We start from the raw sequence: 15,815 nt of genomic DNA, 5'->3' as shown, positions 1-15,815 counted from the left end.
AGGTATCAGTGGGGTACGAAAAAAAAAAAAACTCCGCAGGTAGCTCAGTGTCTGCCCCAACAGCCTCCCAGTTTTGTGCTTGAAACCCAGGGCCCGGGGAATGTAGACACACGAGGGAATCTCCTGGTCTGCGGATTGCAAAAACCATGGGAAAAGTGTAGTATCTGGGCCAGATAGCCCAGTCCCTCATGGCACAAACCCTCATGGCTTCCCTTAGCTAGGGTAGGGAGGTCCCTGACCCCTTATGTAAACTCACACTTCCTAGGTGAGGCAATGCCCCACCCTGCTTCTGCTCACCCTTGGTGGGCCGCACTCACTGCCTAACCAGTCCCAATGAGATGAACAGGGTACCTCAGTTGGAAATACAGAAATTAGAAATCACCTGCCTTCTGTGTTAGTCTTGCTGAGAGCTGCAGAGTGGAGCTGTTCCTATTCAGCCATCTTACTACAGTTGGTAATCCAAACTGTCAAAAAATTAATGAAATATTATTTAAGGCACTATGAAGATATCATTTGATATTTTCATATCACAGAACATAAAAGCATACGCAGTTTATATTTCTGTATCACAAAGGAAAATTGAGACAGTATGTTCACATGTATCCAGGGAAAATATGACTTGTAATAAGTCCACTGAATGGCAGTTCAGCAGTATGTGCCTGAAATTTTTCAACCGGTAATAATTCAGTATCTAGAAATATCTAAAGTAAATTTAAAAGATTATATAAAACATGCATATAAAATGTTCATTATAATATTATTTATTGTAAAGGAAAATTAATCAAATTAAACAACAAGAATATTAAAAAGTATAGTGTATCCATATAATAAAAGATGAATCCATTTGGCCTTGTTTTTGAAGGTTATTAATCATATTGAAAATGCTCAAGTTAAAATGTTTTGTGAAAAGCACCTGTATCATTCTATTATTTGGTTTTAGATATTTGTATGTATTTATCCACTTGTAAAAAATTAATTTTTATGTGTTTTCTGAGGTGCTGAAAATGTTAGAAGTCATTCCAGGACTGCTCCCTCAGAAATTGATTTTACCTCCCAGAGTGTTACAGACACTAGAAAATATTATATATCAGGAGCAGAGGCTTTCCCAAGCAGCAGAAAGCATAAGGGAGGGGAGCCATTTAGATGGCAAAAGGTGATGTGGTATTTGATGTCATCCATCCCCATTCTCATTTAGCATTTAACATGAAATTTTCTTAGCATATTTGATTTGGTTTGATGGAAACATTAAAATTTCCAAAGCCTGTGACCTACCTGGCCCAGGGATAAATTGAAACAGACAGGGACACCGAAGCAAGGATCCAAAGAGAAACATGTGGAAGAATGGATTTGGAATTCACAGAGTGGCTCTGTTAGTATGAGGATTTAACTTAAGACCAAGTTTAATCAGAGTTTTGATGGCCAGTTGGGCCAGGATGAAATTTGTATTTGTGCAGATGTGTATTAAATAAGCTATAAGAAAATAAACCAACAAATTTAATAGTGGTTTACTCTTGTTAATGGGATTAGACTAAAATTAAAAAGAGAACAAAAATATATTTCTTTTTTAATATGCATTTAATGAAATTTTATGAAGAATAAAGCATTCTTCATAGTAACATTAAGATTAGGAAGCTGATATTAATAAAATAGGCTGGAAAATATGAGGAGATAAAAAAACCCTGTAGGTCAGAACCTTATTAATTCTAAGTCATGCTCTTCATTATGAGTTAAATTTCTCTATTTTCAATTCATTTTCTTTATAATTGAAGTGGCATAAGGATGGCGAACTTCCTTATTGAAATTGTGATGAGGAATATCTAATCAAGCACATTCACAATGTCAATTGCATTCTCAATATTAATAATATAAATGGCCTCAATGATAAAACAATTGTTGCTTTACAATTGAGAGTGTTAGGTTTCTAATCACCACCACATATGTATAAACTATTGAAGAGATTAAGAGCTCATGGCAAAAAAAAATCCTATAGTTATTTTCATGTTTATATAAATAAATGGCATCCAATACATTTAAAAATGTTTGATATTATGCACATTATAATTGTAAAATACAGGTACTATGCAATTAAATACTATTTATTATGCCTTACTGCAATGATTCAGGCATTCTTTTCCTTAGAGTTTCAGTAATTTACTGACACATTTATTTTCATTTATTTTATTTTAATACATATAGTTAGAAATGCACTTTCTGGTTTGTGTCTATTCAAATATTGTATAACTTCCTAATGTTATGACTTAAAGTTATCGAGTGTTGTTTGTTATATCAAAGAAAATAGCATCGGAGCTTTATACAAAGCTCCTTTGATTCTCTTCTTTTGCAACTGGCTCAGAAGTGTATATATAAGGATTCTGTTTATGTTTTATCTTATTTTTTTTAAATCTCCTATAAGGCTTCATTAGAGAACAAAGAAAAAAACACAAAATTTAAAACTAATCTACTTTAACTTCACCATCTGCTTTATTTCTGTCTTCTATTTCTATCCTCCAGTTAAATCAGTTTTGCTTTTTTTTTTTTTTACAATTATCCTCAACAAGAGTGACTTATGTAAACTCACGCTGGAAGAAGTAAAGCTCGAATTAGAATTCCATATGAGTACAATTTGCATTCGGGTAGGATTAAAAGTTTTAAATTTTAGTTGCAACAATTGAAAATCTAAAGAAAATCTCTCTCTGTCTCTGTCTCTCTCTCTCATTCTGTCTGTCCCTCTCTCCTTGTCCCCACTTCCCCCATTACACACACACACACACACACACACACACACACACACAGAGAGAGAGAGAGAGAGAGAGAGAGAGAGAGAGGGAGAGAGAGAGAGAGGAATTTGAAGGCTCACATAATTAAACTTTGCAGAGAGGAAAGCAGGTAAGCTTTTAACCAGAGGCTCAATATTATCATACTTCTCCTGGTTTGCTCTACAATAACATTGATATCATCCTGGAAGTTCCCATAAGAACTCAGGCATATTCCTGCTTGAGGCCTTTTTTGTGAGCATTTACACCCAAATTTTCACCCACATTTATTATTCATCAGTTTCTTCATTCTGTGTAGGTATTTTCTCAAATGTTACATCCTCGGTTTGTCCTTCTGTAGAAACCCAATCTAAAATGTTATATACAGTCCTCCCTAGGTATCCGTGGAGTGTTGGTACTAGGGACCTCCACCCACTTGGATACTTCATGGATGCTCCAGTCTCTTATATAAAAGGACATAGTGTTTTCATATAACCAGTCTACATCCTCCCATATACTTTACATTATCTATAGATTACTTGTAATACCTAACACAAAGTAAATGCTATGTTGTTATACTGTATTTTGAAAGGAATAATGACAAGAAAAAGGAGTCTGTGTGTTTCATACAGAGGCCACCATCATTTGTCTTAAAAAATATTTTCAGCCACAGTTGGTTGAATCCATGGATGCAGAACTCATGGAGAAGGAGAACCAGCCACACTCCCATACTCTCATCCAGCCCATATGTGTCATCTCCACTTTCTGTGTTTTTTTTTTCTTGACAATTATTGCCATCTGGCTTCCCAGTTTACAACATAGTTCTTCAAACATTATTTTTATTGACTAGAAGACTAGATTAGGCTGAAATGTAATCTCTATGAAGAAAGATATATTTGTTTCTTTATATGGTACTAACTTTCTTCCAGGGAAGGCAGAAAAATTGCCCTAAAGGCAAATTATGCCAAATGTAGTTGGTGGAACCCTATTTGGAGGGACTCCCTTATAGGAAGTGCGCAGACTATAGAAACTGAGCAGGAGAACTCTTTCTTAGTAATGAGATAGTCAGAGCTAAATTGACCAAGCCTGGAAAGCCAGATTACATTTTATAGCAATACATAGAACATGGGAAAAGATGCATTTGTTGCAAGGTGGGAAAAATTAAGTGATACATAAAAAAAATTTGCATTATGGTTTTATGTCAAAAAATATAAAAGTCGGTCAAAGAAAGAAGCGTTACAGCCAGGCCTGTAATCCAAACTAACAAAGAGACTGAGATAGAAGGATGGCTTGAGGCCAGGAGTTCGAGACCAGCCTGGAATACATCATGAGATGCAATTTCTATTTTTTTTTTTTAATTAGTGTGATCTGGTGGCACGCATCCATAGTCCTGGCTACTTGGGAAGCTGGAGTAGGATAATCACTTTGAGCCCAGGAATTAAGACTGCAGTGAGCTATGGTTGTGCTACTGCACTTCATCCTGGGGTAATAGAGTAAGATCCTGTTTCAAAAAAAAAAAAAAAAGAGAGAGAAAGAAAGAAATAGAAAGGAAAGAAAGAAAGAAATGGAGGGAGGGAAAGAAAGAAAGAAGAGGCATTGCGTAAGCTAAGTATGTTATGACACTCAAAATATTAGTATTCAAATATACACAAAATTGCAAAATCTGAAATTCATGCTATGCTGATCTACTAAAGCCTGAATTAAACAGAAATACTGTGACCATCTATCACCTTACCAATTACATTTTAATCTGTGAAAGATATCTTCTGATTGTACCCCAAACCAAATAAACACACCAATATATTCATTATTTATCAGTCTTCGGAGACAGTTTCTTCACACTTAGGGACTGGGTTGTCAGTGCCATAATTTGTGCTGAGAGTCGCAGACATCTTTGAAAAGGAATAGTTAGAGTCAGAATCAGGAAGATCCCTGAAGGAACCAAGTGTGATTTTGCCCCTTAGGTAATATGTGGCAATGTCTAAAGACATTTTTAGTTGTCACAAGTAGAGATCAGGGCTGCTACTGGCGTTTGGCTATAGAAGCCAAGTTTGCTGCTAAGGATCCTACAGTGCACAGGAGAGTTTCCTACAATAAAGCAATATTGAGTCCAAAATGCCAATATCGTTGTGGTTGAAAAATTCTTCCTTAGAGGAAGTTTAGGTTGCAGAAAGTGGAAAATAGTAAGAAAAAAGGAAAGATCAAATGCATACAACTTTATGAAAGTTAGAGAACCCCAGACTTACAAAAGAAAAACTGTTTCAGACTAGCAGACCATAATAACAGGAGATAGATTCCAGATTGGGAAATCTTTTTCTGGTTCATGTGGGCATTGCGTCTGACAGTTAGATGCACATAATTGGTTAGGACAAATTGTTTTCTTGTTATTTTCTTGCTTTGTTGGAACAGACTAAGCACTTTTGGTTCAGAATGAGATATATATATATATAAATATATATATATAATATATATATTATACATAAATATATATATAATATATATAAATATATATATACACACACACACTGCTTGGTCACAAATGTGTATATATATATATATGTACTGCTTGGTCACAAACTTTGCTTTTCAGTTCTTCCTTCTGAAATGCTTGCTTACATTAAATTTGCTTGATTTTTTTCCTCTATGTATATTATTAGTCATGTAGGTGAAAAATTTGAAAGAGTTTTGTTAAGTAGAATGAACTTGTGTGATAATAACAGAGAGCTTGCTCCACTTCATTTTTAAGAAAACGGGGAGAAAGAGGTAGGATCCCAGATGTATTAAGCATAAAATAACAAAATCAAATAGCCACTGAATTGCTCTGATGTAGCTTCAATAATACCATACGATCATGATCCATTTCATTCATGTCCTGTTCTATGCCTTACATCTCCTCTCATCTCTCTCTTTCGTGGACATATTTCTCAATGGCTCTCTGAAAGAACTTCATTAATTGAGTAGTTTATCCTGTACTTGTACTGACTCTTGGGAGGGAAGTTGGCTTATGCTTAAAGTACTACTTGAAAGAGAGCAGCATCCTCAAACTAGCTGTTCACTTTTAAATATTGTTCATGTGCATGTGTTACTGTTTTTCTAGTTCTATGATATATTTTAATAATTTAAATTACTCTCATATTTTAAATAAGCAAACAACAATGTGCTTTTACTTGGAAGAATTTTTTCAAATAACGTAAGAAGCATCTTTCACAGGATTCATGTTTAAGTCATTCTCATGTGGTTTTATTGCCATAAAATTGTTAGTCATTCAAAGTGGTAGAAACTTTATTTTTGGTCAACCTTAAATAGTATTATCTGGGCCCTTTTGGCTTGTTCTTTCCTAGGCAGCAAACAATAATAAAGCTTCAGATGTGTTCAACTGAGAAGATTAATAGAAATCAAAGTTACCACATAACTTCCATTATGTGTGAAGGATTTGATGTACAGGAAATTTACCAGTATCTTAATAGATCTAGGACAAAAATAAAAATTAACATGGTTTTTCTGTGTCCCTACCCAAATCTCATCTTGACTTGTAGTTCCCATAATCCCCATGTGTTATGGGAGGGAACCAGTGGGAGGTAATTGAATCATGGGGGCGGTTACCCCCATGCTGCTGTTCTTCTGATAGTGAGTGAGTTCTCACAATATCTGATGGTTTTTTTTAAGGAGCTTTTTTGCCCTTTTGCTCAGCACTTCTCCTTCCTGCTGCCATGTGAAAAAGGACATATTTGCTTCCCCTTTTGCCATGATTGTAAGTTTCCTGAGGCTTTCCCACCCATGCTGAACTGTGAGGCAATTAAATCTCTATCCCTTATAAATTACCCAGTCTCAGGTATGTCTTTATTAGCAGTATGAGAATGGACTAATACAGAAATGCTCAGGAATTACTGCTATGCCAATGTTACCTTTACATGCATGATATGTAAATTGACTAATTTCCAATGAGAAGTACTTTATAAATCCACATGTTTTCTGTTGATTGGCTATAATAATTGATATTAGCTATAGAGTAAGAAATGTTTAAGGGAGACCTCTAATAATGAATTCATAAGCTTCTTCTCTCACACTTTTATATTTGATTTTTATGCTATTATTCATTTACAAGAGTAAGCACCAAAGGAGTTGCAAGCTTATCTTGTATCTCGCTTTTTTTCAGCGGAACTTTTGTAAGTGATAAAATAAATTAAAACAACTATAAGAAGTGATAGATTAATTCATTCAAATTAGTGCAATGCTTGTGAATAGTTAAAACATTTATATTTAAAGGAAACATATAGACATTTTAAATGTCTTAGAGAAATTGAGAATGTCACTATGTCTTTACTAGTGCTGAAACAGGAAAAATAATTGAAAAAAACTTTTTTTAACAAGTTTTATTATTTAAAAATTCGCCTGCTATGGTTAAGAATAAATCATTTGTGAAAGAAAAACAAAATAAGGTCAGGTTATTTATGTGAATCTATTTCATATTATGTTTTGGATCCTCAAGATAGCAGCTCTTCTACCAAGATGCTTATTAACAGGATTTAGAGCCATTCTATCTGTACATATGGTAAAGCTCAGTACTTTAGAAGGAGTTTCACAAATATTTGGGAAAGAAACCAGAACGTAAACTTTCTTCAACAGTTTCTGAGCATCCAGAGTATGCTGGGCTGAATAATGGTACCCAAATTTTCCCCTGTGTCCTCTGTGTCCTAATCCCCATAACCTATGGATGTTATCTAACATGGCAAAAAGGACTTTGCAGATACGTTGAAGATAAGTATCTTGAGATAAAGAGATTATCCTGATTATCAGATGGGGCCTGATATAATCACAGAGGTCCTTATTAAAAAGTTGCATACAGAATCAGAGACAGAGAAGGTGATATGATAACAAAGCAGAGATTGGAGTGTTATTTTTTAAAGCTGAAGGAAGGAAGGTACAAGCCAAATAATATAGGCTACCAATAGAAGCTGAGAAAAAGATAAAGAAACAGATTTCCCCCTCAGAACCTGCAGAAGAATCCAGTCTTGCTGACACCTTGACTTTACATTAATAAGACTGATTCCAGATTTCCGACCTCCGGAAATGTTAGAGAATAAATGTTGTTTTATGCCACTGCATCTGTAGTGTTTCATTACAGTAGTAATAGAAAGCAAATCCACAAAGGCTTCAAGAAATTTTATTTTAAAATTTACACCAAAGTAAACTTGCTAGCTGAAAATCATTAAAGAAGCTCTCTAACTGAACACATAAATTTGAATGTAAATATGGTGATAGGTCCTCTCTAAAAATGTATATAAAATACACAAAAGAAGTCAATCAAGATTTATTCTTAGCAGTCATTTTTAGTCTTAGCTTTTAGATCCATCTGAACCAACTGATACAAGTGGATTGAGTGTAGATCAGGAAAAACCAAAAGCAGCAAGATGTTTAGTTAGTTGCATATCTCAGAACAAATGGATTTAACTTTCATTAGTTAAAATTCTGCATTTACCTTGACATGGTTGGCACGTTTAGCAGATCCATTTGTCAACTGCTTAGTGAAACTGCAGACTTTCACAAATGAGATCTTGGCTTGTAACATTTTGCTGTCCCATTTCTAACGCAGACAGGAATAGCCCGTGCTAATGCCATATCCTGCATGTGTACATACTTTACTAATTTATCATTCATACTAGGACACATTTGAGAAGGAAAAAGGGTCCGAACAGTTGCTTGGCTGGAGTAACAGGCATTAAACTAGGTCTGGTTTACACAAAAGGCACTAACTGGTATTCTTCCCAATATGAACATCTAATGTTTAGAAATTGGTATCTACATGATTCTTATGTTATCTATAACAATTGCAAAGTCATGTTTTCACCTTGTACTCAAAAGTCAACAGAAACACTGATTTAAAAAATAAGGCAATCCACATTACAAAGTGAGAATCATACATAATTTACTAGACAGCCAACATTCTGATTGCAGATGTAATCACGGGTATTACAAGAGGCCCATGGACTAAGTAACTTTTGTTTAGCCTCAGTAAGTTTTGGTGAAATCTTTAGTCACTTGTCTTTCAGGAAAATCTCTCTCTAATTCTTTTGTAATCTCTTAGTGCTATGTAACTAGTACAGCTCATTGAAAGAATATCAAAAACATTACATTGTGGAAACTCAACTCCAGGCACACAATGTTGAGGAAGACAGGCCATGATCTTACCTTAGGCTTTGTAATAGTCACTCAATGAGATATATATCTTAACTTTAATTGCAAACAAAATAAAAGAGAAACCTAACATCAATTTCTGAAAGTTCAGATTTGAAAATAGTGTCCACCTATTACTGAGGAGGGACTGACCACACATACGCACTCACACAGGGGGAGATACAGGAGATGGAGACAGAGATCCACAGGTTAATATTTTCTATCTTTTGCTCAGTTCTTCATAATCATTTCCAATCTAAACCTGGGATCAGGCAGAAAATTTTTCAGGCGTAAGAAGGCAGGCAGATGGAGGGCCAAAACAGGAATCCTCCTAGGTCCTGGAAAAATATGAGTGAGTTTTTTGTTGGTTGTTGCTATTGTATTTTGGATAAGCTTACTATCAGCAAATATAGGTCAGTTCTTGACTATTCTTACTTCTGCTATAAGAACAGAGAAAGGAATTTATTCATTCTTTGTTGGTTACCAAGTTTCCCTAGATTGATAGTTGGCTGAAGTCCTGACTGTTTATTTTTCCAGCTGCTCTTCAGAGTTAGGATGACTTTTTTAAGCAATCTATCTCAACTCACAAAAAAATCCTTTTGACAGTATGCAGATGACCAGACCTCCTTAAAATGAGGTGGAGAGTTTAATTATGCAATTGTACCAAAAATGTTTGACACACACTATCACTGAGATTTTCATCCAAAGAAAAAGTTACTTTTCGCATTTGAATAATGAATATAGAAATCTGAAGAAACACATTTCATTTTTTAAAAATTTAGCTGCCTCTCTTCTAACTCCATAATATTCTAATTGGCCAAGTACTTGTTTTTAATACATGTATCCTATCTCTTTAAGTAAAGATGTTGAGAGCTCCATGGTGTCATCCGGGGAGAAGGAGCTGAACTTTAAAAGTACCCAAATTAACCCAGGAGAGAACATTGTCCCTGAACTATCTCGTTAAAATGCCTGATATAAAAGGTAGATATAAGAAATATCTGAAATAATTATAAAATTACCTAGAATCAAACCTAAAGAGAAGGATATCATAAGAAGTCTTAATATTTTTAATATAGTCCAATTTGATCTCTTTTATGAGGACCATGAATTAAAACATATCTGAAGTGCATATCTGTAATGAGTGGACTATTTGAAAAAATTTTTTTCAACTCATGCAAGGTTATCATATTTTAAAGTTTTATTCATTTTGTATTTCTGTATTATTACTCTAGTATATCTGTAACTGTTTCCTATGTAATGACTAATACAATTCTGAGGTTGATTATTTACTACTTCTTATGGAAGGAAATGTTCTAATCAATGTTCTACCATAAATTGAAAAAAAATTGAAAAAAAAAACATTTAGTTGATTTTATTTTTTAGTCAAAGCCTGAGAAAAATCATATTACCCTACAGTTTCAAAAATTCACAAAGACAAAATCAAATGATGTGATGTATCAGATGTTATTTAATAATTTACATATAAGGGATATTTAAGAAAAAACATCCAAGAGTTTATTTGGAAAAACAAATTTAAAAATATATAGGGAAACTTTGAAAAAATACCAAAGAAGTACTTGGAATACCAGGTGAAAAAATTAATTATAAAGCCCCAATAATTAAGATATTATTGTAGCACAATAAAAAAGATAATTAAATTAAAATAGAGAAAATCAAATGCAAGAATATATTTAAAGTCATTTTCTGAATTTATAAACTGAAATCAGTGGGGTAAAATTTGATTATACAAAAATGATATTAAAAAATTATAATAAGGTATTTTGAGGGAAAATTTAGTTCACATACACTTCTACAATTGGAAAAAATATGTGACACATATATTTAATCTAAGTTTTAGTTAAATTACAAAATGCAAACTACTGATAGATTGAAGTTATCTAAATAAATGCTACTAAATAAACTTGACTTGTATTAAAAGAGTTAAATCGTCAATTATCAAAGTTTTTAACTAATTATGAAAATTAAAAAGAATATTAAAGTCACTTTTAGCCTGTTAAAGATGTACTCTTCCTGAGATGGCAACGTTATCAAGTATGTCTGTCTACGCCATGAAAAACAACATCAATCATAACATTTACAATGTTGTGGAAACAAAATGACATATACTTAAAGGAGTTATTTTTCTTCTGAAATGATTAAATATAACTGTAACAAAAAATGAGTAGAGTCAATGTTGGTTATCTTGAACCTAAAGCTATATATTTAATTGCTTAATTGATTGTTTATTTAATATTATGCCACTATTATAAGAAGTTTGCATTAGCAATTAGCTGGGAAAGGAAAATAGGGATTTTGGTTTTCTACAGTCATTTGTTTGATAGAAGAATGAAATAAATAGATGTTATGTAGCCTATAAGAGCAAAAGGAAGATTTAACTGCAAAAAAAAAGAGTTTTAATATCATTTTAAATGAGTAAGATAATCATTTATCTTCTTTTGTAGCCCTGATGATCACATTCATTCCTGAAGTTGAATGACATTTGGCATGCAAGTCTATGTAGTATGTGAGAGACAACTACAAAGGTGTAATGTCATGGCAAAGGCATTTTTACCTCAGCAGCTGAAAGTTGATTTAGGACTAAATGCAATCAGATCATTTTCATGGTTCTTTGAGACTGCTTGCTTTCCTGTTGAAAAGAAAAGGGTGATTTCATTCTCTAAAGATTTCCCATAACTTTTCTAATTTTCTTTTTTTGAATTTAAAGCAATGATAAGAGTTTAATAAGAGACACTGTATTTATAAAGTTTAAAAATGAAAGTCCTTGAGAAAAAATAAATACATCAGAATCAGAGAACAGTATAGCACTGGAGAATATTACACTTTGTCTACAGTGATATAAAATACTAATGTAGAAATTTTTAAAGAAAATGTATATATTTAAGAAGGGGAAGAAACTGTCTCCTAAGAAGAAAATCTTTAAGCACTTGTAGTAAAAATATTACATATATACACATGCATATACATTACATATATAGGCATATATATAAATGTATACGTACATATATGTATATATATAATAATGTGTAATGTGTATACATACATATATGCATATATGTAATGTATATGCATGTGTATATACATTTATACAAACACGCACACACATATATATACACATGCACATAAATACATATATGTCAATTTTACTTTACTCCCAAATAGTAAAATATATCTATGTGTGTTTAAATGACATACTCAACTTGCAGCATCTTGGAGTAACGATGTTCTAGAATGTATTGCCTTTAGGAATTGTGAGATTTTCATTTGTTTATTTGTGTTCATTTTAAAGTTATATCTAAGAGAACTGGGACAATTTCATTCTTTTACTTTATTTGTGCCATATGTGGTTAATAACTCCCCAGAGCATACTTACAATAAATACCTATTGAATAAAGAAGTGATCTTGAATAATAGTGATTATCATGTCTTAAAATGAGAAAATCAAATACTTGGTGATGAATTAGGTAGCCACATTTTTGTTCTTGTAGTAATACTTTTGAAAATCAAAGAAATCTTTAAAAGGAAATAAATGAAAATATGGGAAGAACAGGTTCTCTGGCCATTAGCTATGGTGCACTTTTATGAGATACTACAGATTGTGAATAATAAATTAGTTACTCGTATGTGTTTTAGAATAGTGTACATTTCTTCACAATCATGAAAAATTCCAGTATTTGCTCAATTTCTTCAGTCATTTTCTCATAATTAGAAAATAAGAGGCTTTAGTTGTTTTGCTTTGTGTTATCTGTGTTATTTTTGGAGGGAAACATTAGATAATGAATCACTGTAGTCTAAGAAATTACTTTCAGGATGAGCATGGTGGTGCATGCCTGTAATCCCAGCATGTTGGGAGGCTGAAATGGACAGATCACTTGACCTCATGAGCTGGAGACCAACCTGAGCAACATAGCAAAACCCCATTTCTACAAAATATGTAAATAGCCAGTCATGGTGGTGCATGTCTGCAGTCCCAGCTACTCAGGAGGCTGACATGGGCAGATGACTTGAGCCCAGGAGGTGGAGGTTGTTGCAGTGGGCAGAGATAGCACTACTGCATTCCAGCCTGGGCGATAGAGAGAGACACAGACCAAAAAAAAAAGGAACGAACGAACGAAAGAAGGAAGGAAAGAAAAAAAAAGAGAAAGAAATTCCTGTCAGTCACCTCACAAGTCATTAAATTAAATTGATCATTCACATATCCATATATGAGTATTTCTTTTTTTTTATTATACTTTAAGTTTTAGGGTACATGTTCACAACGTGCAGGTTAGTTACATATGTATACATGTGCCATGTTGGTGTGCTGCACCCAGTAACTCGTCATTTAACATTAAGTATACCTCCAAATGCTATCCTTCCTCCCCCACTCCCCACCTCACAACAGGCCCCGGTGTGTGATGTTCCCCTTCCTGTGTTCATGTGTTCTCATTGTACAATTCCCACCTATGAGTGAGAACATGCGGTGTTTGTTTTTTTGTCCTTGCGATAGTTTGCTGAGAATGATGGTATTTCTAAAGGAAATTTAGAAATTAATTATAATACCTTGGGTAAAAGTACAGATATTCAATAATTTATGGTCACCTACCATTCCTTGAACTCCAGTCACAATTTTATATGTAGAAATATAGATGGAAATATGGAAAAGATTGCATTTCCTATTTCATGTCTATCCCAATACATGCCTTCATCCAGAATGAAACTACCTCACAACATTTGTGATTATGTCGACTACTTCTTCCTTTCTGTTCCCATTGTTTGCAATACTGTCTTTCTACATAGCAGTGACTACACTAAATGGGATTTCTTGGAATGACTGTAAACACACATTAGACTGTGAGCTCAGTGAGAGCAAGGATGCCGTAATTTAAACTTTTTGTCTCTTTTTAGCATAACAGTTGGAGAAGAGTTATATTTCAGAAAATATTTGTTGAATTTTCACATTTCTCTAGAATATAGTATGGTCACGGAGTTGTCAGCAACTACTGTGATTTATGGAAAAATGTTAAAGTAATAATAGGAGACCAGAAAATGATCTTATATAATTTCCCAAACTACTTGAGAATTTTCTGTTAAAATCAGATTTCCCTTGGTCCCCAGAGAGCCAAAATAGGCCAGCTTTGTTTTTCATTTTGCATTATTCTATGTTTTTTGGATACAGTTCCTAAATTTAGGTGCTACCTAGAAGAGCTAGAGGAATAATAATGCTAATTTTTTTATTTAAATAATATAATTACTATTGATTTTACTTTATTAATTTTCCATAGAAGGTTTTGACTATGAGTGGAAATTGAACATTAATTTATGTAAATTCATCATTGCTTTTTGAAAGATCATTACATTTCTTTAAATTGGATAGAATAAGATATTTTAGAAATAATCTGTTAATAATTTATTAGTACTTAAACTTCAGAAGGATAAGTGAATAAGTGATGTCAAAGCAAGAAGGTGGCGTCATAAAAACAATAAAACATCAGAATTATAAGGTTATATACTTCCAATTTTTAACAATAATAGTTCTTATGTGTCAATTAAAACTTCCATTGAAAATATTTTTATTGGGGAATAGAGAATAAATTTTAAAATAAAGTAACAATTGATGAGATTTGAAACCTAAGTATAAAGGTTTTATGTCTTAGACCTGTGAGAATTGAGGTGTGTGAGTTGAAAAAAATTCTATAATTTTTATTTCCTTATCTGAAGTATGGAAATGAATATACAAATATTCTATCCAGGCTACTGAAAAAAATGATGAAATGAATAGAATGAGTTAATGCTTTTGAACCCATTTGAACAATGAATTCACATATGTGGTAAAATGGCCACATATACAAATACTAAGAAAAAAGAGAAAGAGAGAGAGGTGAGGTTTTCCCACTATTAATATCTGCCTATATGAAGGAATTTCTTTTCATTTTTCTGTATGGTTTCTAAAAACTAGCAAATGCTTTAAATAAATATAAATAGAATCACCAGGGAATATAGATGCTGTAATTCTAGGTATATGCCATAATTTCATGATATAGTTTCTTTAAGAAAGAGAAGTTTACAATGCTTAATACATCATGAAAAGCAAGATTTCTAATGGAAATCATTATCTTTCCTAAGAAAGGTTGCTGCTGAAATAAGAAATCAGCATCTAAAGTTGTTTTAAAATCCTCTTCATACTAGCAATCAAAATTAGTTTTCCCTTATAAAATAGAAAAGCCTTAAGGAAAGCAACATTGAATATATTTGGCACATGAAATGACAAATCAGTTGGTTAAGGTTATAAAATTGTTATGAATATGTATTTTGTGTCAATCAAATAAAAATCACAAAACTTTGATACTGCAAAATTTGCTTATTTCTGATGTGACATGAGATACAAGAAATAGATTACTTTCCTTTTTATAGACAATTTCTTGATTCTCTTGTTTCTTTTTACTGTCATTGTGAAACCATTTCATCTTTGTCTTAATTTCACTGTTTGCTTACCAGAATTACTCCTCTCACAAGCTTATTGAGGTTCAAAGTCAGTTCAAGTTTAGTTGTCTAATATGTACCATTTAATTAGTTCACTGTCAAAAGTAAGATAGATGTTTGCTTCCAAAGGCATGTTTGTGTATTTCCAAACCTTGGCATTCAACTCACTAAAAGAAGAAATAGATCAAATGCTGAATTGATTCCTCTTTTCAGTTTTTATACATCGAGTGGGCTGTCAAGTACAGGATAGATTAACACATTGCTATTTTTCATGTATATTGTTATTAGCAACTTATAAACACCTATTGTTTACTGCAATTAATGTAATTTTTATTTTCTTATAGAAATATGAGCTATACATTTTATAGTATAAGGTCTAATTTAATATATTTGATAATGAGTTTAGTC

At 32.8% G+C, this 15,815-nt stretch overlaps 1 protein-coding gene across 4 annotated transcripts in view, besides 1 other annotated feature; it reads left to right on the top strand.

Annotated features, from left to right (window-relative positions):
* Positions 1-15,815, top strand: part of EYS (eyes shut homolog) — a 1,987,247-nt gene that overhangs the window by 332,693 nt on the left and 1,638,739 nt on the right. The gene's annotated exons all lie outside the window — the stretch shown is intronic.
* Positions 4,554-4,723: an enhancer, noted in NCBI's record as "experimental_92568 CRE fragment used in MPRA reporter constructs". NCBI's record gives its function as "activates a minimal promoter by MPRAs in K562 erythroleukemia cells, with activity observed for the non-introgressed 6:66079789 variant allele {active_cell/tissue: K562}" and the evidence as "EXISTENCE:reporter gene assay evidence [ECO:0000049][PMID:34662402]".

This window comes from Homo sapiens, chromosome 6, assembly GCF_000001405.40.
Source record: "Homo sapiens chromosome 6, GRCh38.p14 Primary Assembly".
NCBI classification, from domain to species: Eukaryota; Metazoa; Chordata; class Mammalia; order Primates; family Hominidae; genus Homo; species Homo sapiens.
This window is presented reverse-complemented; position numbering and strand designations above follow the sequence as displayed.